Source organism: Homo sapiens, chromosome 3, assembly GCF_000001405.40.
Source record: "Homo sapiens chromosome 3, GRCh38.p14 Primary Assembly".
Lineage (NCBI taxonomy): Eukaryota > Metazoa > Chordata > Mammalia > Primates > Hominidae > Homo > Homo sapiens.
The window spans coordinates 38631959-38659708 of record NC_000003.12 but is presented as its reverse complement, the minus strand read 5'-3'; the positions used below and the strand labels follow the sequence as shown (position 1 = coordinate 38659708).

The 27750-nt window shown below is 51.7% G+C and overlaps 1 protein-coding gene across 12 annotated transcripts in view, besides 4 other annotated features; it reads left to right on the top strand.

The window, feature by feature from the left end:
• Positions 9904–10063: a silencer, noted in NCBI's record as "silent region_14214". NCBI's record gives its function as "represses an Ori minimal core promoter by ATAC-STARR-seq in GM12878 lymphoblastoid cells {active_cell/tissue: GM12878}" and the evidence as "EXISTENCE:reporter gene assay evidence [ECO:0000049][PMID:35858748]".
• SCN5A (sodium voltage-gated channel alpha subunit 5) overlaps positions 10022–27750 on the top strand; it is a 101626-nt gene continuing 83897 nt past the window's right edge. For 11 of the 12 annotated variants that reach the window (NR_176299.1, NM_000335.5, NM_198056.3 and 8 more), the window contains exons 1-2: positions 10022–10178; positions 26350–26674. Coding sequence is in view for 11 of the 12 variants with exons in the window: in NM_000335.5 (NP_000326.2) it covers positions 26402–26674 (273 nt within the window). In the remaining variant the exon portion in view is untranslated. Of the gene's footprint in view, positions 10179–26349; positions 26880–27750 lie in introns of those variants that run through there. The other variant, NM_001407187.1, reaches the window with a different exon arrangement.
• Positions 15961–16469: an enhancer, noted in NCBI's record as "H3K4me1 hESC enhancer chr3:38684731-38685239 (GRCh37/hg19 assembly coordinates)". NCBI's record gives its function as "activates a minimal SCP1, AML or CMV promoter by ChIP-STARR-seq in primed H9 embryonic stem cells {active_cell/tissue: H9 hESC(primed)}" and the evidence as "EXISTENCE:reporter gene assay evidence [ECO:0000049][PMID:30033119]".
• Positions 16470–16980: an enhancer, noted in NCBI's record as "H3K4me1 hESC enhancer chr3:38684220-38684730 (GRCh37/hg19 assembly coordinates)". NCBI's record gives its function as "activates a minimal SCP1, AML or CMV promoter by ChIP-STARR-seq in primed H9 embryonic stem cells {active_cell/tissue: H9 hESC(primed)}" and the evidence as "EXISTENCE:reporter gene assay evidence [ECO:0000049][PMID:30033119]".
• Positions 18158–18901: an enhancer, noted in NCBI's record as "OCT4-NANOG-H3K4me1 hESC enhancer chr3:38682299-38683042 (GRCh37/hg19 assembly coordinates)". NCBI's record gives its function as "activates a minimal SCP1, AML or CMV promoter by ChIP-STARR-seq in naive H9 embryonic stem cells {active_cell/tissue: H9 hESC(naive)}" and the evidence as "EXISTENCE:reporter gene assay evidence [ECO:0000049][PMID:30033119]".

Here is a 27750-nt window from a genome sequence, read left to right as displayed (position 1 = left end):
CAACAGGTATAGACCAGGCACATGAGCCAGGAGGAAAACGGAGGGCCTCTCCCTGCTGTCCACCCCTAGAGGCTTGACAACAACCATAGGAAAAGGCATTTCTATTGGATGTTTATCTAGAGCATCCCAGGTGGGGCCCTAAAAGGCATTACAGCTAAGGTCTGGACCCTGGAAATGAATGAGAGCTATTCAGTAGAATCTTCCAAAAGAACAAACATCAAGCCCTGTGTTCACCCTGTTCCCATGGAAAGGTCCATCAGTAAGGAAGTGGTCCCGAAGTTGGCCCAGGCTGAAGCCAACCTCCCTGGGAGTTGTGGCTGATTGGGCCTCCAACACTCCTTTCTCAGAATGGGAGCCACATGGATTCTGTTCTCCACAGCGCTCAGAAATTACAAGGCTGCCTCCATTCCACAGCTAAGTCCAGAGCAGCTCCACTCTTCCCAGTGCGCATTTAGGCGGACAGGTCCCCAGACTTTCCCCAGGGACCCCAGCAACAGCCGCTGCTGCTTGCGGGCCCTGGGCAGGTCACTGTCGGTGCCCAGACCTGTCTCCCCTCATCAGAGCAGTGTGGGGGCTGGAGTGGTTGATGTCTCCGCCCTGGCAGCCCGGATCTCCGTGCTGATGAGAGTGGGAGGCAGCTCTTCTGTTCTCCTGTCAGCGTTCACTTGAGAAGCCTGCACTCCAGCCCCCTGCCTCTTATCTCTTTCAGAAGCTGATACACTTGCTGACAAGAGGCAGCTTTTGTCAGCCGCTGCCAGGTCTAAGCATTTTCTGGCCCGAAGCATTGACTTCCAGTAAAAAAAAAAAAAAAAAAAAAAAAAAGAACCAAAGTCTCCTGAATCCTCTTGTCAGGTCTAACACCTTTGTTCATTCACTAATCTCAGGAGTGTGCAGGCAGCACGGGGTAGGCTGGGACACCCAGGACTCCTGTTAGCATTTGGATGCAGAAGTGAAGGAGGTAGCCCCAGGCAGGGGAATGGCAGCAGGAGAGGCTGAGTTGCTCCTTGTGTGCCTTCTTCATTCATTATGACAGCATTCTTGCTGAGTGAGGTGGGGTAACTGGAGGATTTCAGAATCCCACAGTTTTGCTCCTAGAGATGGGGAAACTGAGGCCTGGGGCAGCCTCTCAGCTAACCTATGCAGTACTGGGACTCCAGTCCTCTTTCCAAATCCCTGATGTTTTTATTTTTAGAAATCTGGATGCTGGGGAAGGAACGGAACTGAGGGGGAGGCTCAGGAGTGCCCCCATCGTGGGATCACTGGCTCCCTCACTCACCAGCTCCCTCCCTCTTCTCTACCACCAAAGAGAGAGTGAAGAGTGCTTTAGGGAGAAAACATCTGATCAACAAAACAAAACACAGCCTTTTGTTTCAAAGTCCAAACTCCTGTTTCTGGGCAACCAGAGCCCCTAGACCAGGCTTATGTACAGAGCAGCAGAGGTGAAATACCTGAAATCCAGGGACTGTTCCAGAACGGCAGCTCTGACTACCATCTCTCTAACAGCCAGAGATACCTCCTGTCTCTCCTCCACTCCACACACACCCACACACTCACACATTCCTGAAGGAAGCACCACTTCCGCTCACAAAGGTAAAAATGCCTCCTTTCTTGTTTTTTAAACCATTTATTTATTTATATTTTAATTTACATTCAGGGAAATTCATTCCTTTTGGTGTCCAGTTCTGTGAGTTTTGACAAATGCAGAGTCATGGAACCACTATCACAGTCAAGATACAGAACAGCCCACCACCCTAAAATGCTCCCTCCCTCACTCCGCCCCTCTGTAGTCAGCCCACACCTCCCTCCACCCCCAGCCACCACGGCCACTGATGCTTCTTGTTCCTTTAATTTTGCCTTCCCCAAAATGCCATATAAATGAATTCATAACATCTACAAAACGTTTTGAGGCTGATTTCTTTCACCTAACACAACAATTTAAGATTAATCCATGTTGTGTGTGTGTATCAATAAAAATGCTTCTCAAATGTATAAAAATAAAACTCTGGTGGAAACCCAATGCCCAACCACAGTTCCCATCCAGTGAGAGTCTCCAGCTCTGAACACAGCTCACTAGCTCCTCTGTAACCAACGTCACCCTCCCCTCCACCCTCAGCCCCATTCCTGTCCCTGCCTGCTTGCTCATTACAGCATGCAGCCTGCCCAGAGCCTACCCACCTCCTTCTAAGCCTAGTTCCTGTGGCCACACTGGGTGCTCCACAGTCCTCTTGGTGCTGCTTGGTCCTAATCCAAGAGAGAAAATCGCAAATGCCGGCAGAGCCAGGCAGGTAATTTAATAAACATAACACAACACGGAATGGTGGGGATCAAAAGGACCCGGTGAGTGCATGTCTCAGACAAAGATATTCACATTGCTATAAACTATTTGACACACTTTACCTGCACACCATTCTCCCTGCCCCCAAAAATACATCTGTGGGATGAATTCAGGCACCAGGATTCTGGATCTGCAGCCTCTAAATCTCTCACCCTGACCCTCTTACATAACTACACCACTGCACTGATGTGAAGTATGACAAAACACAGGACAACCATTGCACCTTTATGAAGGTGGCAGAACTCAGGGTGATCACATGTCCCCAGTGGAATGCAATGGAACATGGGGAAGCAGATCACCCCATGTGGACTTGAGAATATGCTTTGAATAGAATATGCTTGGAGCAGATTCAGCTGCCAGAAAGGCCAGCTGAGTGAAAGGGATAATGCCCAGGAGACCCCCCCTCCCCGGCCACAACAGTCTGGTGCTTCTTACCCTACAAAGCTCAGACCTGGGAAGGCTGTATAATGTATAGAATCAATGGTTGGCTCTTTTTCTTATGGCTTCCATATTGCGTGCACCAACAACACCCCTCACTCCACATGTACAACCAAGGGAAGAGAGCATGCTGCAGTGAGTTGCCCAGAGCCCCTCTTAGGATGGAATTCCTCCCTCTAGCTCCTCCTCCAGCTGGAGGTTGTTCCTCCAGCTGCCAGGAGCGTGGCTGTTGATGGCTCTCAGATGTGCCCCTCTCTGGACATTGCCCTTGCCTCATGGGAGCTGCTCACCCAAGGTTATGGCCTCTCATCAGAAGCAGGCCACTGCCAATGACTGGTTGAAGTGGAGGTAGACAAGCTTGCTCATACCTCTCTGGCCTAAAATTGGGACAACTCCAAGGGGTCACCCCAACTCCTGGTCATCCCAGCTTCCAGGAGGCTTGGCTGAGGCGTTGGTTGCAACCACATTAGAGTTCAACTTCCTCTGCCCAATCCTGCTTCCCTCACATCCTTACAAATATTATTTTCAAGTGAACTCCAAAGAAACTTCCTGAGTGCAAATCTCCATTTTAGAGTCTGTTTTTAGGGTTTTTAGGGAGCCCAATCAAAAGCAAAGGATGAATAGGCTTTAGATAGTATGACTGTCAAATTCAATCTGTAAAATATTTATTTTTAAAACATCTTCCCATACTATTTCATTTGCTCCTCTTAACAACTCAGCTAGGTAAGTATAGAATTATCTCATTTTATATATGAGTAAAGTAAGACCCAGAAGCGTTATGTGTTTAATACAAGGTCACATGGGCTATAAGTGAAGAATCCTATCAAGGCTTCTGGCCCTCCAAGCCCTGCTCCCTAGTCACTACAATGGCCAGAGCTGATGGGTGAGGGACTGCATTTTGTAGCAAGGAGATGAGACGGGTGGAGGCAGGGGCCGATGCCATGCACCGTCATGCTTCACACAACCTGGAGTACGATGCACATTCCTACTCATCAGAGATTTCTATTTTCTCTCAACTTTCCAGCAGATGGCAGTCAAGTGTCTTGAGGAAGGGGCGGCTCATCCTCATTTGCAGATTTGCAGGCAGGCATTATTTGAGCTAGTGGGGCCACTGGCAGAGGCGAGGGCATGTGTGTCTGACTTGGGCTGAGGGTACATGTAAGAGACAGCAGGTGCTTCCCACATGGGAATGGTCCCTCAATTAAGAGCATTACCCTGTCCATTGTCTAGGTATAAAGGCAGGATTGGGTCACCAGCCCTTTGGCAGCAGATCATGGCCTTGACCATGAATACATTTATTTTTTTTCTCTGCCCCTTCTAAGATAGAGGGTCTCAACTGCTCATGCCTTCAAAATAAAGCAAGAATGCTCACAACCCATGAGGGTAGTATCTGATTACTACTTAAAAATACCTGGGGTAGAAACTGAAATGGAGGACTTTCTTCAAAATATAGTGGAAGACATCTATTGAAACGTCACTAAAATGACAGTGAAATAATTTTTTTTTGTTTGTTTGTTTTGAGACAGAGTCTCATTCTGTCACCCAGGCTGGAGTGCAGTGGCACGATCTCGGCTCACTGCAACTTCTGCCTCCCAGATTCAAGTGATTGTCCTGCCTCAGCTTCCCGAGTAGCTGGGATTCCAGGCACCTACCACCACACCTGGCTAATTTTTGTATTTTTAGTAGAGACGGGTTTCACCATATTGGCTAGGCTGGTCTCGAACTCCTGACCTCAGGTGATCCGCCCGCCTCGGCCTCCCAAAGTGCTGGGATTACAAGCATGAGCCACAGTCCCCAGCCGACAGTGAAATAATTGTAAAAGGACAAAATGTACAGAAGAGGGGCCAACAGCGGATATGATGACAACTTCCTGCAAGTTTGAGCCATAACTGCCAGAGCAGAGTGTGTCTGCAGAGGGAAAGCTGGCAAAAGAAAGCAAGGGATAGCCACTCTCTTCAAAACCCTGGAAAGTTCTCAGGACTCCAGGCATTGGGTACCTTCAAAAATGGGGAGGAAGAGTGAGGTTAAAAACACCAGAGCTAGTAAATAGTTTGTATTTGGAGTAACTGAGCTACCAGGCCCCTCCTCACCCAACACAATCTGGCTGCGGGTGGCAGAGAATCCTGTCTTATTTGTTTAAACAAAGAGTGAAAGAGAAGGCCAGGCGCGGTGGCTCACGCCTGTAATCCCAGCACTTTGGGAGGCTGAGGCAGTTGGATCACGAGGTCAGGAGTTAGAGACCAGCCTGGCCAACACACTAAACCCTGTCTTTACTAAAAATCCAAAAATTAGCTGGGCATGGTGGCACGTGCCTGTAATCCCAGCTACTCAGGAGACTGAGGCAGGAGAATTGCTTGAACCTGGGAGGCAGAGGTTGCAGTGAGCCGAGATCGCGCCACTGCACTCCAGCCTGGGCGACAGAGCAAGACTCGTCTCAAAAAAAAGAGCATGAAAGAGAAGTACAAAGGTATTAGTTCTATGGTTCACTGTCATCAAGGCCAATGTTTCTGCAAATCTCCCAGCCTTACCTTCAAGGCTGAGAGAGGTTTTGTAAGCGCCAAGCATTATGTCCTCATTCAAGGCAGGGAGAATCAAGAAGAGGAAGACAGTAGAGCCAGCAGCTCTTGTCCTCTTTTACCAGGAAAACAAATGCTCTCTCAGAAACTGCCCTTCCCTAGCAGAAGTTTGCTTCTGACCCTTGGCCCTCATTAAGTTACATGGCCGCCACTGGGTATAGGAAAAACTGGAAAGGCAAATACTGTTTGCCTCTTACAGCCTTCATGGAAGAGGCAGGCAAGGAGAAAGAGGGGTGGGGATGAATGCGGAGCAGGCAGAGTTTCTTGACAAGTGGGCAGTATAGATGGTAATGTCAGTGCCCAGTATCAGAGATGTTTTCTCTTGGGCTGGTCAGTGTCTCAATGTGAAATTCCCCAGCCCCCTGCCTAGTGGGAAGTGCACATAAGAGTCAGAGTTCCAGCGCCCAGCAGAAGGAGGAAACCAGGGTTCTCACTAGACCCTCTTACTTTCAGTAAGGCTCCTCAAGCCTGCCTCCACTGTGCCAGATGCCCTCCATCTAGAGCTCACAGATAGCCATCTGCATGAGGCAGGACCAGCCTCTGCTGGGGAGGGCTGGGCAAGGCGTTTCTGGGTCTGCTGGCTTTTGTGTGGCCTTTCCCCCAGGCCTCCTGTTCTCAGCCCCAACCTGCACCTCCACCATCTAAGATGCCTCCTGGTCCTGACTGTTTATGGATCCGAGACCCCACTTGCTTCTTTGTCCACCTCCACCCCTGGAATTAGCACAGTGAAGAAAACAGAAACACAAGACAGTTACTACTCTTCCAGCCATTTACCTTCTTCAATCTCTCACCTCAAGGGGAATGGATTAATAAAGTGCTGTGGATGCAGAACACAGAACATTCTGCAGCTATCAGAAGCAAAGAGCCAGCTGCCTACACCACAACACAGATACAGCTCAAAAGCAGGGTGTTGAGGGAGAAACATAAGGAAAAGAAGGAAATCTAGAACGATACCCATTTATATAAATGAAAAGCACATACACACCAACAGCCATTAATCATAAAAAATGTGCTCAATTTCATTAGTCATCAGGGAAATGCCAATTAAAACCAGAATATGAAACCTCTGCACACCCACTGAAGGAGATAAAATGAAAATGACAAAAGTATTAAGTGTTAAAGGATGCATGCATTCACTGCTGGTGGAGTGAATACTGGTGGAACCACTGTGGAAAACTGTCTGGCAACATCTGCTAAAAGCGAACACACATTATCCTATGACTCAGCAATTCCACTCCCAAATATGTACCTGGCAGAAATGGGTACATATGTTCATCAAAATTTATGTACTAGAATGTTCATAGGTGTGCTACTCATGAACCCCAAACTAGAAACTACCCAAACACCCATCAGCAGTAGAATGGGTAAAGTCTGGTATATGCATACAATAGGATGCTGTACAGCAACAAGAATGAATGAACTACAACAACAAGCAGCAACATGTGACTCTCATGAGCGTAAAGCTGATCAAAAGAAGCCAGACACAAAAGAGCTCCTATTATACAATTCCAGTTTAAATAAATATCAAAACCAGGCAAAACTAGCAAGGGGAATTCGATGTGACTGTAGTAGTTAACTCTGGGTGGGTGTAGCGGTGGTGACAGAAAGGGGCACAAAGAGGTCTTCTGTGGTACTGATAACGTTTGGTTTCTGTGTTGTGCTGCTCACACGGATGTGTTCAACAACAGAAAACCCTTTCAAGTGAACACTTAGGATTTGTGCAGTTTTCCATTATGTAGGTTCAATGGAAGTAAAACATAAAAAGAAAAGCTTTGGGCTGTTAGAAGAGAAAATGCATATGCACAAACAACAATACTACCTGTTTTACAAGGATGTGCACATAAAGACCTACTTTAGCTCCTAGAGGGGTGCCTGTGTGGAGAAGGAGATGGCAGTGGAGTGATGATGGGGGAAGAAATAAAACAAAAACACAAGAGAGGAGTAATGATATGGTTAACCCAGCTTTGAACCTGAGGCAAAGTAAAGGCAAACCCTGGGCGAAACTGAGGGGCGAATAAAGGACATACTAGTTTTTAAAAACATTTATCTCTGACAGCTGACAACATGTTCCTGTTATTGCTTTAATTAAATAGGGTTGGCCAGACATGGTGGCTCACGCCTGTAATCCCAGCACTTTGGGAGGCCGAGGTGGGTAAATCACGAGGTCAGGAGTTCGAGACCAGCCTGGCCAACATGGTGAAACCCCGTCTCTACTAAAAATACAAAAAATTAGCTGGGCATGGTGACGAGCACCTGCAATCCCAGAGACTCAGGAGGCTGAGGCAGGAGGATTGCTTGAACTGGGGAGGCGGAGGTTGCAGTGAGCCGAGATCACGCCACTGCACTTCAGCCCTGGAGGCAATGCAAGACTCCGTCTCAAACAAAACAAAACAAAACAAAACAAAAAATTTAAATAGGGTCTGGCAAAGAGAAGGGAGTAGCCAAGATCTTGGCAAGGGCTCTTTGTAGGAAGTGCCTGTCTCCAGACACCTGTTGCCTGTCTCTGCACTCTGAGGCCTCTCTAGGACCACAAGGTGTGCTTTTATGGATGAACTTCTACAGGTTCAGAGCTCTGGTTCCCCATCCCCTGGGCTTCTCTCCCCCTGTTTAAATTCAGGGTGCATGTAGACTTACCAGGCTCAGCCCACCTCTCCTGCTGGCAACATCCAGTTGCCCAATACTAAACAGGAGAGTGAAAACCCCACTTCTGCTACATATGGACGGAAGGGAGGCAGGTATCCACCCCTACTCCCAGCAGCTTCTATCCTAGCCTTGTCTCCTGCTTGACCCAATGTCAGTTTGCAAGTAGAAGCTTCATTCTGAGGCCGAGAAGCCCGTGATGGAAGTTCTTAGGGGAGGTAGGACCTTCCTGCTACTGTACTCTCCTGCCTGGTAGGTGTGACTCTGGGAAGGCGGCTGCACGTGGGTTGAAACGTTGACACTGCCTGCACTTCCCCTTCTGGCCGATAGTGGGAGCTGCTAGCCAACCTGAGGCTCGTCAGGCGCTAAAGGCTGGCAGCCGACCTGTGTGGTCCATCCGTCTGTACCCCAGACACCCCACTCAACTCGGGGCCGGAGAGGCCCATGTCCTGAACTTTCCTGTGGACTGACTTTCCTACTGATCCCCTCCTGCAAGCAGAGCAGCCCCTCCGTATGTACCTAAGGCGTCCAACGAAGCCCCACACCCAGGTCGCAAACGGACGCTGTCCCCCACCCCCCTCTTTGCCCTCCCACCTCTTCAAGATCCCCATCATGGAGGAGCAGGTCCCAGCCTCTGGGCTCCCAAACCCAGCACCTCTGTGCCCTCTGAGACCCTGGCACCCATTTGGCTCTCTAAGAGCGGTTCTTGCTTTTGGGAGCCCTGAAAATGTGGCAGAAAAGTGTACCATCCCTTCCAATGACTGTACTTTTTTCGTGGGCAAAAGCTGATGGCCTGTTTTTTGTTGTTGTTTTGTTTTGTTTTTGTTTTTGTTTTTAGAAGCGCAAGATTTATTGTGAAGAGGGAAAGAACAAAGCTTCCACAGCGTGGAAGGGGACCCAAGCGGGTTGCCCTGATGGCCTGTTTTGTTTAAACAAGAAGTGTGTCCCCATAGGTCCTGGGCATGGGCATGGGAGCAACTGTTTGTCAGCGTATGTCTCCGTGTGTGTGTGCCTGTGACCATGTCTCTGAGTGAGAAACAGTGGGTGTGTAAGTATGTGACTCCAGGCTCTGCATGTGTCAAGGTGAAGGTTGTATGTGGCTCAAGAGGGTGGAAGTATATATATAAAGAGGTATATACATGTATATATATGTATGTGTGTGTGTGTGTTTGCGCGCGCGCGTGTGTGGGTGTCTCTGTGTTGGTTGCCTGCTTGCTTCTGGGTCTGGGTGTGTGTTTGGTTCTGTCAGCATGTGCGTCCGTGTGTTCAGGTAGATGTGTACCATTGTGCAGATTTCTGTGGCATCACTAAGTGTGTCTCCAGGAAAGTGTGGTTCGAGTGAGTGTGTGTGTCTCTGTGTCAGTGTGTCAGTGGATGTGTGTCTAAGTCATGTGGGTGTCTAAGTTTGTCAGAGTGTCTTCCTCAGTGTCAGTGTGTGTCAATGATGTGTCTGTCTGTGTCTGTGTGGGTGTGTGGGGGTGTGTATCTGTCTCAGGGTGCATGTGTGTGTCTGTGTCAGTGCAGGTATGCCTATGGCAGCGTGTGTCTGTCTCGGCATGAGTGTCAGTGTATGCCCGTGTCCACGTGGGTGGGTGGGTGTCTGGTAGCCTTCCCAAGTCAGCAAGGTTGCGTGTGTGTGTGTGTATACTCTGGCGGGTGCTGGTGTGTATGCCAGTGTTTGTTAATGTGAGCCTGTCCGCGTCCGCGTGGGTGGCCATCTGTGGTGAAGCGTCGCCGGGTCGCCGTGTGTGTACCCCCGCCTATGTCTGTCTGTCCGCGGCCGCGTGTGCGGCTGTCTGTGGCTGTGAGCCCCCGGGTCAGTGTGGGAGTGTGCGCCCCGGCGGGCGCTGGTGTGTCCCCCCTCCGAGCGGGCGGAGCACCACGTGCGGAGCCCTGGGCGCGTCGCTCTGGGGCGGAGCCAGCCCGGGGCCCCAAGCCCCAGGCCGAACCCAGGCGGGGCCCGCCCCGACCCCGCCCCCGACCCCGCCCCCAGCCCGAGCCCGCGCCGCCTGCCCAGCCCGGGAGCCCGAACAGAGCCGCGGAGCCGAGACGGCGGCGGCGCCCGTAGGATGCAGGGATCGCTCCCCCGGGGCCGCTGAGCCTGCGCCCAGTGCCCCGAGCCCCGCGCCGAGCCGAGTCCGCGCCAAGCAGCAGCCGCCCACCCCGGGGCCCGGCCGGGGGACCAGCAGGTGAGCGAGTGCCCCCGCGCCCGGCAGCCCTGGCCCGGCCGGAGCCCCCTCCGCCTGCCGCCGCCCAACTTTCCTCCCCGAGGGCCGAAGCCTCCAGTCCCTGCGTGCTCCTCCCTGCCCCGGGTCCGCCCAGCCGCTCCCTCCCCGATCAGTGCCCCAGAGAGCCGGAGGGGGAGAAGGGGCGCAGATCCGCCCGGCTGGAGGGTATCCCCGGGGGAGACGTCTCTAAACACCGTGCGCCCCCCTTCCCTTCCCTTTCCTTCCGGGTTTCCCGGTGCGCTGTCGAGGGCCGGGGGAGGGGGAGCTGCGGCCCCAGCTTCCCGGCCATCCCTGGCGCAGGCTCGGGGAGGGTCTGGGATTGGGACCCGGATACCGGAGGCCGGAGACCCCAAGGTCAGAGCGGCGACTAGGCGCGCCATGAATGTGGTTCCAGAGAGCGGGGTTTGCGGGGGCTGACCGAGCAGGGCTGGATATGGGGGAGGAAGCCACGCACCCCCTTTCTCTGGGCCCAGGGGGAACCGTCCGCTGGGGCTGTCCTCTCTGTGGGACGAGATCTCTGCGCGTTTAGACCATGTAGAGATCTCGGTGCCCTTTGACGCCCTAAAGGGGCCGCATCTCCTCTGTCTGATCTCTGTGCTTCTCGAAGGGGTGGAGATCTCTTTGCGGTGAGATTGGAGAGAGTTCTCTGCCCTCCTCTCTCTGAGCCGGAACAGATCCACGCACCCTGATGGGAGGTGGCTCTCGACCTCTGTGTTATTTGATCGTCTTTGGTGGCGCTCTGGAAGAAAGTGGAGGTGCCAAGCTTTGTCCGAGAGGCCAAGAGCTGGTGGGGGCCAGAGGTGTGGGGACTGTTAGTGGTGGTGATGAGGATGGGGGGAAATGATGTTGGGGACAAGTCCCTGGCTGTAGGCCTGCCTTGCAAACACCTGTTGGAGAGCAGAGCACAGCCAGATCAGGATGCCATGGCTAAGATAGTGCAGGACTCACTCTTGTGCTCCTCAGTGCCTTCAGCCCAGCCCCGGGCCATGGGATCTATCTCCTCTTAAGGTCCTGGGCCTATGTTCCATTCCCAGGCATCTGCTCGCCTCCTGCTGAGACCCCAGGTGTGTCTCCCAGTGAGCCTAGGCAGTATCATCCAGATGGCAAACCACGTGACCCCCACCATGCCATGGCATCCCAAGCCCTCTCCCAGGTTCCCACCATCCTTCAGGATCTAGTGGGACCGTGAGCAGCAGAGGCCCCAGCTACTGGGGGCCCAGGCCATTGCCGCTGCCCTCAACTCCATCTGTTTGACCTCATCTCCACTCAGTTAGAATTGGGCAGGTGCATATGAATCGGTGGTAATGAGTGCGAGGTGGAATGAGGGTGGTCAGGCTGCTGTTGCAGGAGCATGGAGAGGGTGAGGTCAGGTGACAGCCAGGGTGTGGAACACAGATTCTATGTTACAGTGTCCAGCTCTGTGCTGAAAAGAGCCTCATTAAACTTTTAATCATGTCATCACTACCATATCATACAAGTGGGGAAACTGAGGCCCAGAGGAGCTCAAGGACTTATTCAATGTCATCTAGAGAATCAGTGGATTGGGGGCACCACGCAATGTGAAGACACCTTGAGATCTACTTTCTGTGGGGCAAATAAGCCTAGAACTGAGCCAGGAGGATCTGAGCAGAAGGGGAACTGGCCCTGGGGTGCCAAGAGCCAGCATTCAGCCCAATGTGGCAAGGGCAGCTGCTGTGCTCCAAGGTGCTCGGCTCCCTCTCTGTGTGTTGATCAAAGCTCCTCTGGAAAAATTCTAGTATTGACTCACTCAGCATGAAGATTGGGCTTGGAGGACTAGTGGGAAGCACCAGAGACAGCTGGGGATGGGAGAAGAGCGGAGGCTGGTGCCCAGGCAATCCAAAGAGAAGGGAGTCCTGAGGGCAGCCAGGGACAGTGGCAAATTGCAGTTTGTGTTCTGTTCAGAGGAGGCTGGCTTATGCTCACTCTTGGGAAGGTTATTGGAAGGGTGTGCAGTGGTAGAAGTGTGTCCCCAGAGCCCATTCACAGGAGAGGTGGTTACCTTTGGCCGGAATAGTCAAGAATCTTATTCTAACAAAAATAACCTTCCACACTGGGTTTTGAAGGGTGAATAGGAGTTTTCCAGGCAAGGACAGTGCAGTCTAGCTGTCAGGACCAGTATGTACAAAAGACAGAAAAGTGAAACAGCACAATTATTAGTTGAGTGATTCGTTGGGCCCCATGGTGTGAGGAAGAGAAGAGCGGAGTTAAAGCCAAGGTCACAGTCACGGGGGCCCTTGTGAGCTCTGCTCAGGAATTGGGAATTTATCCTCAGTAATGTTACTAAAAATAGCTAACATTCACTGAGTGCTTTCTGCAGGCCAGGCATGGCACTAAGCGCTTTATACGGTTAATCTCACTGAATCCTTGCATCAACCCTAGAGGTAGGGACCATCATAATGGCCGTTTTGCAGATGGTGAAACTGGTGGTCCAGAAAGGTTAAATAGTTGCACACCGTCACATTTTCTAAGTAGCAGAACTTGGGTTTGAGCCCAAGTGTCAATATCTGCTGTGTACTATACCACCTCCCCAGCTCAGACCATGGGTGCCATGCAAAGTCTTTCCATTGAAGGAGAGGCGACTGGCAGCTTACCACAGGTAATAGAACTTATGGTGTCCCATCTTCCTTCTCTGTCAAGTGACATGCTGCTCTCCCATTCCCCACCTCCAATGTCTCACTAAGTGAGGTGTGCTGCCCCCTGGCGCACCATGAGAAGAAGAATGGGCAAGTTAAATTTGGGTTGGCAAGCTTGATGAAGAGCAAAGGAAAAGTGACAGATGTTTCATGGTTCTGATTTGAACCTGTTGTACTTCCAGGGACAGATGCTGACATCCAGAAGGTAGTTGGAGGGAAGGGTCCAGGTAGGAAGTATGTTCAGGATGGAGATCTGGGCTGGAAATGGAAACTTAGAGCTTTCAGCAGAGGTTGGTCATTGGAGATGTGGCACTGAGTTAGATTGCCCAGCGAGAGTGCAGACCTGGGGTTCTCACTCCTGGTGACATTAGCATCACTTGGAAAGCTTTAAGTAAAAATACCTATGCTCAGGCTCCAGCCCTAGACATGCTAATTCATTTGACCCTGGGATGAGGCCTGGGCATCGGGAGTTTTGGAAGCACCCAGGTGATTCTAACGTGGTGTAGAGGGTAAGAAGGAAGGGGGCTGAGTCAGGAGCCCAGAAATACTCCAACCATCAAAGCAGGAGAAGTCTGCAGAGAAGGCTGAAAAGGAGCAGCCAGAGAGGTAGGAGGAAAGCCAGGAGTAGGAGGCGCTGCAGAAGGCAAGGAGAGTGCCCTGCTCGGGGGGAGGGAAAGTGCCCTGTTTCTTTCTGCTGAGAGACTTAAGGTGCATTCTCAGAAGTTCATGGATAGATAGAAAAAGAATGAATAATTTAAAAAGAAGTGTCCATTAGATCGAGCCATGGTGAGGGTGCTGGTGACCTTGGTAGGAGAAACTCCACTCAGCGCCCGCAGAATGTAGGGCCCAGTACAGACAGGTTCTTGTTGAATGAATGAATGAGTGACTTGGTGGGAATGGAAGCCAGTTTGGAGTGGGTTGAGAAGCGAGCTGGAGGTGAGGACGTGGAGACAGCATGTATAGACAGCTCTTTCAAAGAGTTTGATGGTTGAAGAGGGAGGAGAGAGATAGAAGGGAGCTGGCGAGGGGTGGGGTCAGGGAGGGCTGTCGGGAGAGCCTGGAGTGGACACTGTGGGCATGCGTGTCCGTGCAGCACATCGCCATGCAGGAGCCTGGGGGAAGGCCTTTCCCTCAGTGAGGGCTGCAGGTCTGTGAGTTAAGATCGTACCAGTGAAGTGTGTAGTGGTTACTGTTTGTTCAGGGGGCAGTCAGGAAGGCCTGGGTAGAGGGAATAACTCTTTCTGTGAATCTCTGGGAGGGAGATTTTGATGGCAGGAAATGTGATTCCTGCTGGGGGTGGCAGGCAGAAAGGGAAGGGAGCCCTTGCTCTGCAGAGAGAAGGGTGTTCCAGAAAGCCGTATTTAGGGACAAGATTAAGTTGTCTAGGGCAGGTATCCAGGGTGATAGGATTGGGAGAAGGGAGCTGGAGTAAAAGCCCTGCGGCTAAATACATGAAGAAGGCAGAGAGAGGAAAAAGCAGGGCCAGTGAGTAGCCTGTGGACAGAGGCTGGGCCCCGTGGGGAGCAGACCCACGACAGGGCTGGCCAGGGCTGCAGGGGAAGCCTGGGACGGGAGAGCCCCACAGCCTGCTGCCAGCCCAGGCTGCCCTGATGCAGGGGTCTGAGGCAGAGTTCATGCCTTTGGGCCATGGAAGGTTCTAGAAGGTGTACAAGCTATAACAATTGTTCTTATGAAGTTTACATACAAGTAGGGAGATACCATTAAACCAATCCATACAGAAGATAATTTGAGATAGGGGCTAGTGCTATGAAGGAAATACAACAGGACAATGTGATGGAGAGACGTGGGGGTGACTCTAGACTGGCTGGGCAGGGAAAGCCCCTTGAAGGAGGAGACTGAACTGAGACCTGAATAACATGAAAGAACCAAGCCCGAGGAGGTCTAGGGAAAGAATGTTACAGAGGGAACTGCAAGTGCAAAGGCCCTGAGGCAGGGGCAAACTCTGTGGGTTGGAGCAGAGGGAATAGGGTAGGGATGGAGAGGTTCTGTGCCTCTGTTTCTGACCCACCCCTTCAGACTGCCCATTCGGCTATGCACAGCTTACACCACTCGCCTCAGGCTGGCAGCGGTTCCTGGGGATGAGACTATTTTTAGACACAACTCTCCTATCCGTGGGCCTAGAACATACCGTGTCTTTTTAAGATGATCAATATGGAATGACGCTATTTATAGAGACCCCACATCAATTCTCAGAGCCTGGGAGCCCCAGTGTGGGGACAGTCCCAGGACCAGGCTTTGTGGAGGTAGGCACCACCCCTGGCACAACACTGAGGCCATCTGACATCAATTCTTTAACACTTATCTTACCTTCTCCACCCCGCCTGCCGTCACTTGTCTTCCCTGAAGAGCCACAGCCATGGGCTGGGGAGCTTGGTACCCACAGCCTCCCCCTGCAACTTCATTTCCCCAAGGGGTACCTGGTATGCCCCAAGTCCAACATAAAATTTAGTTGTGATTTGCGAAGCCAGAGTCTGATAGAACAGTTTCTCAACCTCTCTTGTCCATTCCTCACTCTGTTTACTATTCTGGAGGGGCAGAAAAGGACAGTGAAAATTCTTAAGACCTCCTAGGTTCGCCTCAGAGGGCCAGGGAGAGATCCGCCCAGGACAGGAAGAATGTAAGGTTGAACTTAGGGGCTGAGCTTCCCTGGTGGGAGGTCATTGTGGCCCAGAGCAGCCAGGCGAGACTGCCTGGAACAGGTGGGACTGGTACCCCTCCACAGAGGATGCACAGAATTCAGAGAGGTGAATGCCCAGATCATGTGACTGGGCCTGTTGTCAGGAGAGAATGTCTATGCACTGAGGCTTCAGTTCTTTCTCTCCTCTTCAGTTTCTTCTTCTGTTTAAATCTCCTAGGGAGGCAATGGAAAGTCATGTCCCCACAGAGGTATTAGCAGAGTGGAGGGATGGAGCTGCTCTCGCAGCATCTCTGTGTGCCCAGGAGGGTCTCTTGTCCACTCAGAAACCCCTGTCATCATCACCAAGGGCTTTCCTTGGCCTCCTAACAGCCCTGGGTGGCCAAGGCTGGTGCTGGCTGCCCCATAGGCTCAAGGTCACACGGGGAAGTGGGCAGAGCTCAGACAGGACTTCACCCTTACCCTTGCCCAGGGAGCCCCCGTGGTTTCTGGGAATGGATTTTGAACAGGAGAGAGGCTTCTCCTGGCACCAGGAGAAAGGTAAATGCCGTTCTGGTAGGTATTGATTCCTCGAAGGCCTGTGCAAGGCAAGAGGCCGCTTTCAAAGAGTTGGCAGAGCAGAGAGAGGTAATCTGGCTTCAGGCACCAAATCAGTTCTCAGGGTACTCAAGCTACATTAGCCATCCCCCTACACTCAGGCTTGGCTGGGAGGTACCCCAAATGATCTAAGATGGGGGAAAAATCAGACCATGGGTGGGACCAGCCAAGCCCAATCAGTGCACCCTGCCTGGCCATCAAAGCCCCAGCCTCATCGACCTGGGCCAAGCGCAGGAAAGTGGCCCAGACAAGCCCCTCAGAGCCAAGGTGCCCGCCCTTGGCTGCGCAGCTCTGCTGCCTCTGGGCATGCTCCTAGGAAGAACCCCAGCCCCGCATTCATTCTGTACTGAGCCCAGGGCTCCACTCAAGGGACACCAGCTGGTGTGGGGTACAAGGAGGCTGAGGGCCAGAGACCACCCACCCCAGCCTCTGTTCCTCATGTTCTGCTCATAGACGTGGTCAGAAGAAGACACGGGAGCTCAGCCGGCCATTTGCAGCGACAGCCTCACCACTGTGCTGGGTCAGATGCAGCACAGACTGCCAGTTAAATAAAGCGACAGCTAGTTGCCAGCAAAACTGGAAACCCAAGGAAAGCCCCCACTTGCTTGCGGAGCCTAGGTGCCTATTAGATGTCTAATTGCTGAGCTTCTGTTTCAGGAAGTCCGAGGGAAGGAGAGATAACAACTCCCTAAGGATCCCTTGGGGTCTATGGTCCCCAGAGATAGCTGGACTTCAGGTCCCTTCCAGTCCTCGCCTTTTATGATCAAATTAAGGACACGTCCCCAGATGGGTGACTTGTATTCACAGTGCATTACACAGGGAGCTTAGATCACACTCGCCAACAAATAAAAGGTAAAAATCTCAAACATCGTGTTGAGTAAAAACAGCCTGACACAGAAGAGCCCATAAGGTAGAATTCCATATGCATGAAGTTCCAGAACAGGCAAAACCAACCTAGGTGATAGAAATCAGAGCAGTTGACTGAAAGGAATAGTGGGACTTTCTGGGGTGAGGGGATGTTTGCTGTCTTATTGGAGTGGCACTCACACAGGTGTATGCATTTGTCAAAACTCATCCAACTGTATACTTAAAGCATTTTCTTGTGTTTAAAGAGTACCTCAGTATGAAAGAATATTAAGAAAAAAGGGTTGCACATTTGGCTATAATACATCATGGACACTTTTGTGGCATAAATTTAGTGTATTGGTTGATTGGCTTATTTCCCTCTGGACACTAAGAGACCCTAGAGGTGGGCCTCCGAGGTTTCCATCTCTCTTGGTGCACACAGTAGGTGCCCCATAAATGCCTCAGTTGCCATGGCATCAGTGCACAGTTCCTCTGTGAAGCTTTTTTTCAGCTCAAGTATTGAGAAAAATGAGTTGGAAGGAATTGAGCTAGAAAGAGACTTAGAACGCTGATTGCTGTCTCGGGCACCTGTGTGCCATGACGGTGTTTCCTGGGCCACATGTGGGCACCTTTCTGGCCTGATTATGTATACCATGTGTGTTTACACAGAGATGGTCTGGGGTCCGGGGTGGAATGCCCCTGGGTGACTAAGCTGGCACTCCAACTCTGGGTCTCTGTGGTTTCAGGGTATTAGACCATCCAGGTCCCCACCCTGGAGACCCAGGGCCAGGGGCAGTGCTGCCTTGGCTGACAGCGAAGTGCCACTCAGCATATTCTAGATACCCTGTGGATGGACCTGGGCATGTGTAAAGGGGCTGACAAAGAAGACTCGGGCCTGGGGTAGGGGGGTGCCCTATGCACTTTGGAGGGGGTACCTGAATGACCTGGGCCTTTTGCAGTTCCCCTGGCCTGGCACCCAGACACTGATGAACAGTCGATGGGTTGAATAAGCTGCTGCCAAGCCCCCGGCCCCCATCCTTACTGTGGGGAAGGGCTATGAAGAAAAAAGCAGGGCCACCCACCTTTCAGTGAAGAGAGTGGCTACCCCCAGGCCAGTTTGTCCTTGGGAGGTGGGCAAAATTCAGGGCTCAGGCCGAAGAGCCCACTCTTCCTCAGCTCCCACCTCTGGAGGAGGACCCGGTCTCAGGCACCCCCATTTCATTTCATCCCTGCCTGGGGAATCACTTCAGCAGAGCAGCAGAGCTAAAGCGGGTGGGGTTTTCCTGTCAGCTGAATTAGCCTCGGCTTCAGCCTGGGTGTTGGAATAAATGAGATGTAAATGTATGTAAATGAGGGCATTCCCTGGCTTCAGGGTGGGTGTGTTCTCCTCCACCTCCAGGAGGGATGGGGATGATTCTTCAGGACTTAGCAAGATCGCTGGAGGCGGAGATTAAGAGTAGAGAATGACAGGCTCCTCAGACTCTCCCATCTCCCCCAGAACTGGGCTCCAGACTGGACAGGGTTAATGCCTATGCAGCCTCAAAGGAGCGGAGCCTGTGGGGAGCTGGTTAGCTGAGGCCCCGTGCAAGGACGGACCAATGTGCCTTTGATCTGGGAGCAAGGACCTGAAAGCACAGGCCACCAGCACCAGCTGGCACCCCCACTGAGCCTTTGTCCAAGCTGTTAGCCCGGGAGAGCCGAGACTGTGCAGACAATTGCCTGGGCGGGAGGGATGGTCTGAAACTTACTGTCGATCTCTCCCACTTACATCCCCCACCATCCCAACCTGTGGCTTGAGCCTCCACAACCACCCACAGCCACTGCCAGAAACCAGGATGGGCACTTTCTGGTCTGCGGGGGACAATGCTCTTTCAATCCTTCCCTGAGGCCCCCGCCCCCAGCCCCACCCCCAAAGCAGGTAGAAGTCTTCCCCACGCCCACCCTTGCCCGAGACAGAGTGTCGCTCTGTCGCCCAAGCTGGAGTGCAGTGCAGTGGTGCAATCTCCGCTCACTGCAACCTCTGCCTCCCGAGTTCAAGCAATTTTCCTGCCTCAGCCTCCTGGTAGCTGGGATTACAGGTGCCTGCCACCACGCCCAGCTAGCTTTTTGTATGTTTAGTAGAAATGGGGTTTCACCATGTTGGCCAGGCTGGTGTCGAACTCCTGACCTCAGGTGATCCACCTGCCCCGGCCTCCCAAAGTGCTGGGATTACAGGCATGAGCCACTGTGCCCGGCCTCAGGTAGAATTTTTTTAAGGGCTTAGGGCCTGGTGGCTGGAACTTGATGCCAGTGCCATCCAACAGAAATATAATATGAGTCACAAATGCAAGCCACATATGCAATTTTAAATTTTCTAACAGCCACATTTTTTAAACTAAAAAAACGTGAAATTAACTTGAACACATTTTATTTAATCCAGTATACTACTATCAAATATTATCTGTTTAACTTGTAATCAATATTAAAAGTTATTAACGAAATAGTCAACATTCCTTATTGTACTAAGCCTGCAAAATGGATGTGACTTTACAATAGCACAACTCAGTCCACAGTAGCCACATTCCAAGCACTTGGTAGCCACATGCAGTGAATGAGTGGCCACCCTGTTGTTGGACAGTGCTTGAGCTGGAGAGAAAAACTGCTGGGGAATCGCTTCTGCCAGGAAAACTGCTGACTCTTCGGGCATGGGCAGAAATCGGCTAGGTCTCCCTGGGAGCATCTGGGCTGCATAGAGGGAGAACCAGGCTCAGATGAGGCTGACAGGGCTGACTCTTAGCCTTGAAGTGGGGGTCACAGACACAGTCCAGGCAGATGGGCCATAGGCAAGCCATGAGCTTTTATCCCACTCTCTGCACGCAGAGGTAGGAGGCAATGTGGTGCAATGGGTAGGCTCACAGGCCTGGCTTCATACAGACAGGGGCTCACTTCATCTCTCCTACAGTCAGATTTCCCATCTGTAAAGCGAGGCTAATAACCCCCGTCTTCCTAGGATTGTTGCAAGGATGAAGTAAGGTGATCCACGAACTGCACTAAGTGCAGTGCAGGGCACAGAATGAGCATGTGATGCTGCTGGGGTGGTCCTTAGTCCAGTGCCTGGGGTTGGAAAAACTGAGGTCTAGAAAAGGGACTAAGTCACAGTGTGAGTGTCTATCCAGGCAAGAGGAAGGTTAATCTCACACTCCCTCATTCTTTCATTCCTTCATTCACCAGTCCCTGCTTTGGGAGACCAGGACAAAAATCCAGGAGGGAGGCAGGCGTGCAAGTAAACTACTCCATCCTGTGCTGAAGTAAGGATGGGAATTCAAGTGTGTCAGGAATACAGAGAGGAGGGAAAGAGCCAGCCCAGGCAGGGAGGGCTGGTGTGGGCAACAAGGAGGCCTTCTGAGCTTGATCTCTCATAAGAATAATAATAACAACAATAACCACAATACCAACTAAATTCATTTGGCACTTTCTGTGTGTCAAGCATGTGCAAATATCAATACATTTATGTTTCACAGCAGCCCTGTAAAATAGATATTATTATTAACCCCATTTTACGAATGGGAAAACTGAGGTAGAGAAACATCAATCAATCTGCCCAAAGACACAAGACAAATGCATGGCCAGGGCCCAGATTCACTCAGGTGAGCTGGCTTCCAAGCACAGCCCTAACCACTTCCTTATCCCTAGGAACAGGAAATCTTCAAGAGGGTGAGGTGGGAGGCCAGGCGGGGAGGCAGAGGTGGATGCAAGGCCTGGTTCTCTGGCTCAGGGCATTTCTTGTTGCCAATGTCAGCAAATCTGGGTGAATTTCCTTGCCAGCCACCACAGACTCTCTTTACTGATGACTCTTCCTCATCCCCTCATTATCTCTTGTTGATTTGGGATCCATCACTTTGGGAAGAAAAGTATTCTGTGTAGTCATTTTTAGGACCATGTACACAATGGGTGCTGATTAAATGTTCACTGAATCATTCAATTAATAAAATGAGTCTGTGAGGTGTTGATGGGTTGACATGTTCTCAAGGAAAAAATGCAGTTGCCTTACAAGCAGGGCTAGAAGTTCTGATGGGTGACTCCAAGCAAGGAAGCCTGGAGTGAGCGAGGTTCCTGGCTGTCATCTCCACATTTGGGGGCCTGTGGATGACTGGGGTGAAGTTACAGCTTGTCAAGCTACATCTAGTCCCATTCTCCTGTCCCTGGTCTTGCCAGGCCAGGAGCACCCAGACTCGTCTTTGGAGGGAGTCCTGTCAGCCAGGGTAGAGAGCAGGGGCCCTGTGCTCATTTGTGGAGTATGATCAGAGTGTGATCAGGGAGTCCTGACCTCCACCTATGGGGAGTGAGCTCCTGTTTTGAGGGCACCCACACCCTCTTCCTGAGCCTCTTCTTTAGCACTGAGGGGCAGGCAGAAGGCGAGTGCCCTGTCGCCGGGCAAAGCTGCACTGTGTTCTGGGTTTGGTGAGACTGCAAACCCTAGGTGCTGGGTGCTCCAGCCCGAGGTCACCCCAACTGCAGGGCAGGAGAGAGGAGCACAGAGTGGAGGAAGCCCACAGGGATTTTCTAGGAAGCCTGGGAACCACTTCCACACAATGCTTTGCATAAATTTACATGGCAAAGAATATTATTTGCATGCTGTGTTCCAGAGGCTCCGATTCCAAGGAGACCAAAATGCCAGACGTGACTCAGGAGGTTGAAGTGTGCCTTCCTTTGCGATCAGGGAGGGGAGTGAGTAGGGAGGGGCTGCAAGGAGAGGGGAGGCTCCCCAGGGTAACCTGATTTGTCCAGGACTGGGGGGTATCCCAAGGTGCAGAAATTTTACTGCCAAAATGAGGAAAGTCCCATGTAAACCGGGACAAGTAGTTCCCCCCACATCCATCTCCCACTTCAGACAGTGCCTACAGCTGCTCTCTACCTGCCTGGCTATTGTGTCCTGTCATAGCAGTGTCACCATTGCTGATTGAGCACCAGCTATGTGCCTTTGCATTCAGAAAACCCTCCTTCAGGAAAGCCAGTTGAGAAAACAGTGCAGGGGGGTCTAGTTTCTGGTGTGAACAGTTAATATTCTCCTTGTGCAGCATCTCTACCTTGATGTGAATACACATACTACAGGGCCTGTCAGTAACCAGCAGAGGCCAGGAAGGGGCCAGAGCTGGGTGAGGGGGCACAGAGGAAGGAGTCAGTGTGGGTGGGTGGGCAGTCAGAAGAGGTGTCCTGGAGGAGGTAGAGTGGGGAGGAGAGCAGGAGGTGACTCTGGCATCACTCAGGGCACACAGAATTTTGGAGAATGTCTAAATCTAGGAGCAGGGGGCTGCATGTGTGGGATAGAAGGAAAGAGGGAGGCACTGCCATGGTCCAAGCAGGGGCAAGGAGGCCTGTCCCAGGGCAGTGATGTTGGGTGAGGGTTGGGAACTTGTGGCCAGTGCCAGAAGAAAGGGTGTCAGGAGGAGCCAGTCTGGAAAGGAAGATTCACAGTCTGCTCCCATCATGAGCTCTCAGGAGCCTTCCGGATGCAGGGAGGGATGCATCCAGTTCCAGAAGCTGATGAACCTGGGGCAGGATGGAGTTGGGGGTGGGGCTCTAGAGTGAAGCCCAAAGGACAGGGAAGCCTGGCCCCGGAAGAGTGCATAGCCGGATGGAGCGGTCCCAGCCTGATGAGCTGCGGTAGGGCTGCTGCAGATGGCCAAGCTGATGCAGATGGAGCAGCTGTCCTGGTGGGGGGTGGAGAATCATGAGGTGCTAGCATCTAGGGGATGAGCGACTGTGGTCTTACAATCAAGCCAGGTCCAGCCTCCCCAAACTCTGGGGCTATGTGAGACCAACACCAGGGGCCCCTGCTTACCTATTTTCCCCTACAACCTTCCACAGCCAGGGGATGGGTTCTGAAATCTGCAGGCCTGACATCCTAGGCCTGAGGGGTGTGGCTGAACCTGAGCCCAGAGCATCCTCAGACCACCCCTGAGCCCTCCTCACCCTGGCAGCACCGGAAGCCCTGCAGGCAGGACTCAGCCAGGCTTGGCCACAGCAGGGCGTGGGCCCTGAGCTGCTAAAGGAAGGGCAGGGCCAGAGCCAGGTGCAGGTGGTGGGAGAATAAGGGAGAAAGCGGATCCCACCCGCCCACCAGGAGCAGCCTGGGGGCCCCAGAGACAAAGGACACTCTTGGTAGGTTTACTTTGGAAAATGAGGCTGCCCGGCTGCTGCAGCAGAGAGCTTCATCTGGAATCTGGTTTCAGCAGCTCCCTTGGGCAGACTATACCCCTCCCAGGCCAGGGCCCCGAGCGAGTGGATGCTCTGCTGGAGGCCAGCTGGGATAGGATCCTTCTTAGGACCTAGGGCTTCTTCACCAGGCCTTGGATGGAGAAGACTGGAGAGGGTATGGAAGTGCTTGGACGTAGGACATCTGCCTCTCTGGTCTTTGTCCATCCCACAGGGCCACTGCAAGACTCAGAATGGAATTTCTCAGGTCCAAGGGTGGGGCAGACTGGGGTCCCAATCCACACCCAGAAATGACACAAAGTTCAGGTAAGTCAGAGCCAGAGGCCAGGGGAGTGGCTGAAACCACTCACGGTAAGAGCATTATAGAATCCCAGAAAGGACTTGGAGGCTTGCCTCATCCTTCTTTAGAGATGAGGAGCTGAGGTGCAGAGGAGGGGACCCCAGGGTCAGCACCTGAGCAAGGACCAAGCCAGGGTCTTAACCTTTCTCTACCAGTTGAGCGAAGCCCATCTCAGAAGCACATATTTTGAGACAAAATAAAACACATAGGATTAAAAAGGAAACCAACTATATTGAAATACAGCTATCGGAACACAGAAACCAACTTTTGATAGAGTAGTATATGTCTTTATTCATGTTTTAAATATTAAGATCTAGCAGCAAATCTAAGTGCTATAATTTTGAAGTCGTGATGAGTATTAATGTTATTTGAGAGGCCAGCAGCAACTGTAACATGACAGGGAAATAGCTGCAGTTTCTTTTGGTCACAATTTCTGCTTTGTTGCCTACATTCACAATTCAAGGAAATGCTAAATTTGAATTAGAGGTTAATGAGAAGGAGATGCGGTTTCTCCCCTAAATCTCTCCACCACCCCTTCACCGAGTCTGTTAAGAAGGGCCCCTGAACTATTAATACACAGACAGGCAAAACTGGTCTATGCCATTAGCAGTGAGGAGAGTGATTCCCTGGGCAAAGGAGGGTATTTAGTGACTGGAGGGCAGCCTAAGTCTGAGAGACTGGGAGCATTTTATCTCTCTCTCTGGGTGCTGGTTACCAGGTGTGTTCCGTTTGTGGAAATTCTTCCATCTGTACACTTATGTGCATGTAACTGCATGAATCCTTTATTTAATACAAATTAAAAACACACCTTTACTAGAACAGACGTATGTGCAGGTGTAAGCTTGCACCCGCACACGCACACTCTGTCTCTCTCACACACACACAAACCCTTGCCAGTGTGTACCAGTGAGCCTCTGCAGATCCATGGGCGTGCATGTGTCCCCACAACCCTTGCAGGCATATGGACACAGATGGATACAGTGAGACAGAGAACACTGTTTTTAGAAATTAAGTCCAAGCAAAAGAGGTGGCTTCCCAATTTATGGAACTGATTGCTCACAGTGGAGAGGGTTGCCCTGTAAGAAGCTGCTGTCATCCAGACTGTTTTTTTTTTTAATTTTTAAAATAAAAGGACAAATGAGTTTTATTGTTTCTGTAAAAATAATGCAAGCTGATTTTAAAGAATTCAAGCAATGAAGACAAGTATAAAGAAAATAGTTTAAAATTACCCAAATATCCATGAGCTAAGAAAAAAAAGTCCTCACTCACATGCATTGATGAGTGTTACAGATGTCTGTTCACTCAAACATGGAAGGGAGACAGGGAAATGCTTTTATAGAGTAGAAACCTACTCCCTCACCTGCTATTTTTAACAAAGATGTTTCTTTAACTTTACTTGAATGAAACAAGAAAAAGACACAGAGTGCCTCTTAACGTGCGGGTCCTGGGACCTCTGTCCTGCCTCCCTTCACAAATCTCAATCCACACTTCCCCAGGGACGAGCGGCGCCCTTTTGAGGCCTGAGTGTGTTGTGTTTGCTCACTATTTACCTGTCTTTTGGCCAGGTGCCTGCTTCACAGCAATTCAGGGTTCAGGGCTGCGGCCCCAAAGTCCAGGCCGTTTGCTGGCCATGTGCAGGGGTTGGTACGGCAGCAGCTCGTTGGGGTCATCGGTGACATGTTTTGCAGAAGTAAGATCAAGGCAAAGCTGACCCTCGTGAGGGGAAAGGATTCTGTTCTGGCAGAGATGTCCAACAGGTGTCCACCGTGCCCTCTTGAACGGGTGCCCACCATTCCCTGGTTTGATGTGGTCATTAGCGATGCAGCCTCCCGGCTTGGTGTCACAGTCAGGAGCTGCTCCGACCACATCCTGTTTTGGTGGGGCAGTTGGGACTGCATTCTTCTGCCTCGGTGTCATAGGCAGAGTGTGTTCACACCAGGTTCTGGATTGTTTGAGGCCACCAGGGGCCACATTCTCCCGGTTTGGCATCACATGCCTGTGCCGGCTGGATGTCCTCGCTGATGAGTGGTCACTGTTTTCCGGTTCTGCTGTCACTTGGGATCAGCATTCATTTGTTCACATTTGGGAGGAGGGGAGCAAGGAGCAGTGTGAGGAGCCAGAGATACTCCATCAGCTCTTCCCATTTTTCTTTTTGCAGTATGATTCAATTTATTGCTAGAATTTTATTTGGTTATTACAAAATCTGTAAGCATGTATGTATTTTTAAAGGGGATGGGGGAGATGGAAGGCAGAGTTATCTTCGGGTTACCTAAAGTGCCAGGGTAATTTTGACCTTTCCAAGGAAGGGAAATAGCTCAGATGGGCAAGGGAGGCATTGCCCATTTTTTGAGCCAGATTGTTTCGGAAGGTTTCTGCACCCTGGGGATTTCCTTGGGAGCCTCTCTGCAGGGGCTCCACCACAGCTGTGTACACTAGGGTGCCAACATCTGGATGACAACTCCAAGCTGAGAAATGTCTCAAGTGATGACAGTTAAGAAACCAAAAGATGTAAGTGTTTCCTGTTGTGTGGAATGGGGCAAAAAGAAGGTGCTTGGATGACACAGTCACTCTTGCCTGCTTGAATTCAGACATGCTTGTTAGGAGAGGAAAGGGGAGGTGACCCTGCTGCCTGTCTACATGTGTGCCTCGTAGCCTGGGGGGGCTTTGGGTTTACCCAGGCCAGTGTTGCCCAGGTGTGCCTGTGGAGTTGTTGGCATCCTGGGGTCTGGAGCCTCTCTGCAAATGGTGTCCCTCCCTCCACCAGCACAGCCACCCCCAGGAGGTCTGCCCACCCTGCTCTCTGTCCCTGGGCATAGAATCAGGCCCATTGTCTGTGTCTTCCAGCTTCCCCACAGGCAACGTGAGGAGAGCCTGTGCCCAGAAGCAGGATGAGAAGATGGCAAACTTCCTATTACCTCGGGGCACCAGCAGCTTCCGCAGGTTCACACGGGAGTCCCTGGCAGCCATCGAGAAGCGCATGGCAGAGAAGCAAGCCCGCGGCTCAACCACCTTGCAGGAGAGCCGAGAGGGGCTGCCCGAGGAGGAGGCTCCCCGGCCCCAGCTGGACCTGCAGGCCTCCAAAAAGCTGCCAGATCTCTATGGCAATCCACCCCAAGAGCTCATCGGAGAGCCCCTGGAGGACCTGGACCCCTTCTATAGCACCCAAAAGGTGACTACCACCCACCTCCAGCCCTGCCTACCCTTCTGTGCAACTCCCTTGTCAATGGAGCAGAGGGGGAAGAGGGCCTGGCCTCCATATGGGGCTCTATTTAGGGTGGCTCATGAGGCTCTGGGGAAATGAGTCACTGGTGATCTATATTCCAATCACCTTAATTTTGGAATTCTGGAATAAAAACAGGAATTATGCAGCCTGAGATGCTGGTTTGGTGTAATGAAGAAGAGAGGGTAGCCTCAGGGAAAACACGCCTCCTGTGATGTCCTTCTTTGGGAATTACGTGTGGTTAGATTTTTACCCCTGAAGGACTCCTCCCCGTTGTGTGGTGTGTGTGTGAATTGGAGTCAAGCCCCAAGTTCTGGCCTGCGTTTGGGCCCTGCCTGAGTTTGGGCCACAGAGCATAGCCTGTGGTCCTTTCTCCTTAATGGGGACAGCATGTAGTCCCCACACCCACGAACTATGCATGGCTATGCTGGCTGGCTCAGGCCACGGCCACAGCAGCAGTTCCCTGAGCTTTGAGGGCTGGCAATGGGACCAAGAAGGCCAGTGGAAAGTCTGAAAGGGATGGAGAGGGCAGTGATCACTGGGGGATTTTTGGGGGAGGGTGGCGTGTGATGTTCTGCCATTGTCCCTTCTGATCATAGGGAAGGGAAGTGGCTTTTGTCTGCTAGGGCAGGGAGACTTGGGCTTCCTCCTAGCATGGCTCCGACCCAAGAGGTAACTGCCCCTGTCCAAATTCCCTGCCCTGGCCTCCCTCCTCCAGATCTCAGGCCCATTTGTGCCCCATCCCCACCACACACAGAGCTCCTGCAGAGGCTTGGTCTCCAAGCTACCCACACTTCTGGGCCTTACTTCCAGAGGAAGGTGGATTTGAATTTGGGGGAGGTATTTTTCCCAGAAGGCTGAGTATGAGGAAGACAGTGGCCAGGCACAGTACTGCAGTCAGCACCAGGCTGAGGAAGCTCATGGGGGTCAGACAGGGCTGGTGTGGCCAGTGAGAAAATGTGACTACAAGAGTGTGTGACTGTGGTTTAAGACCAAGAGCCTGGGGATGAGCCTGGGCCGTGTCT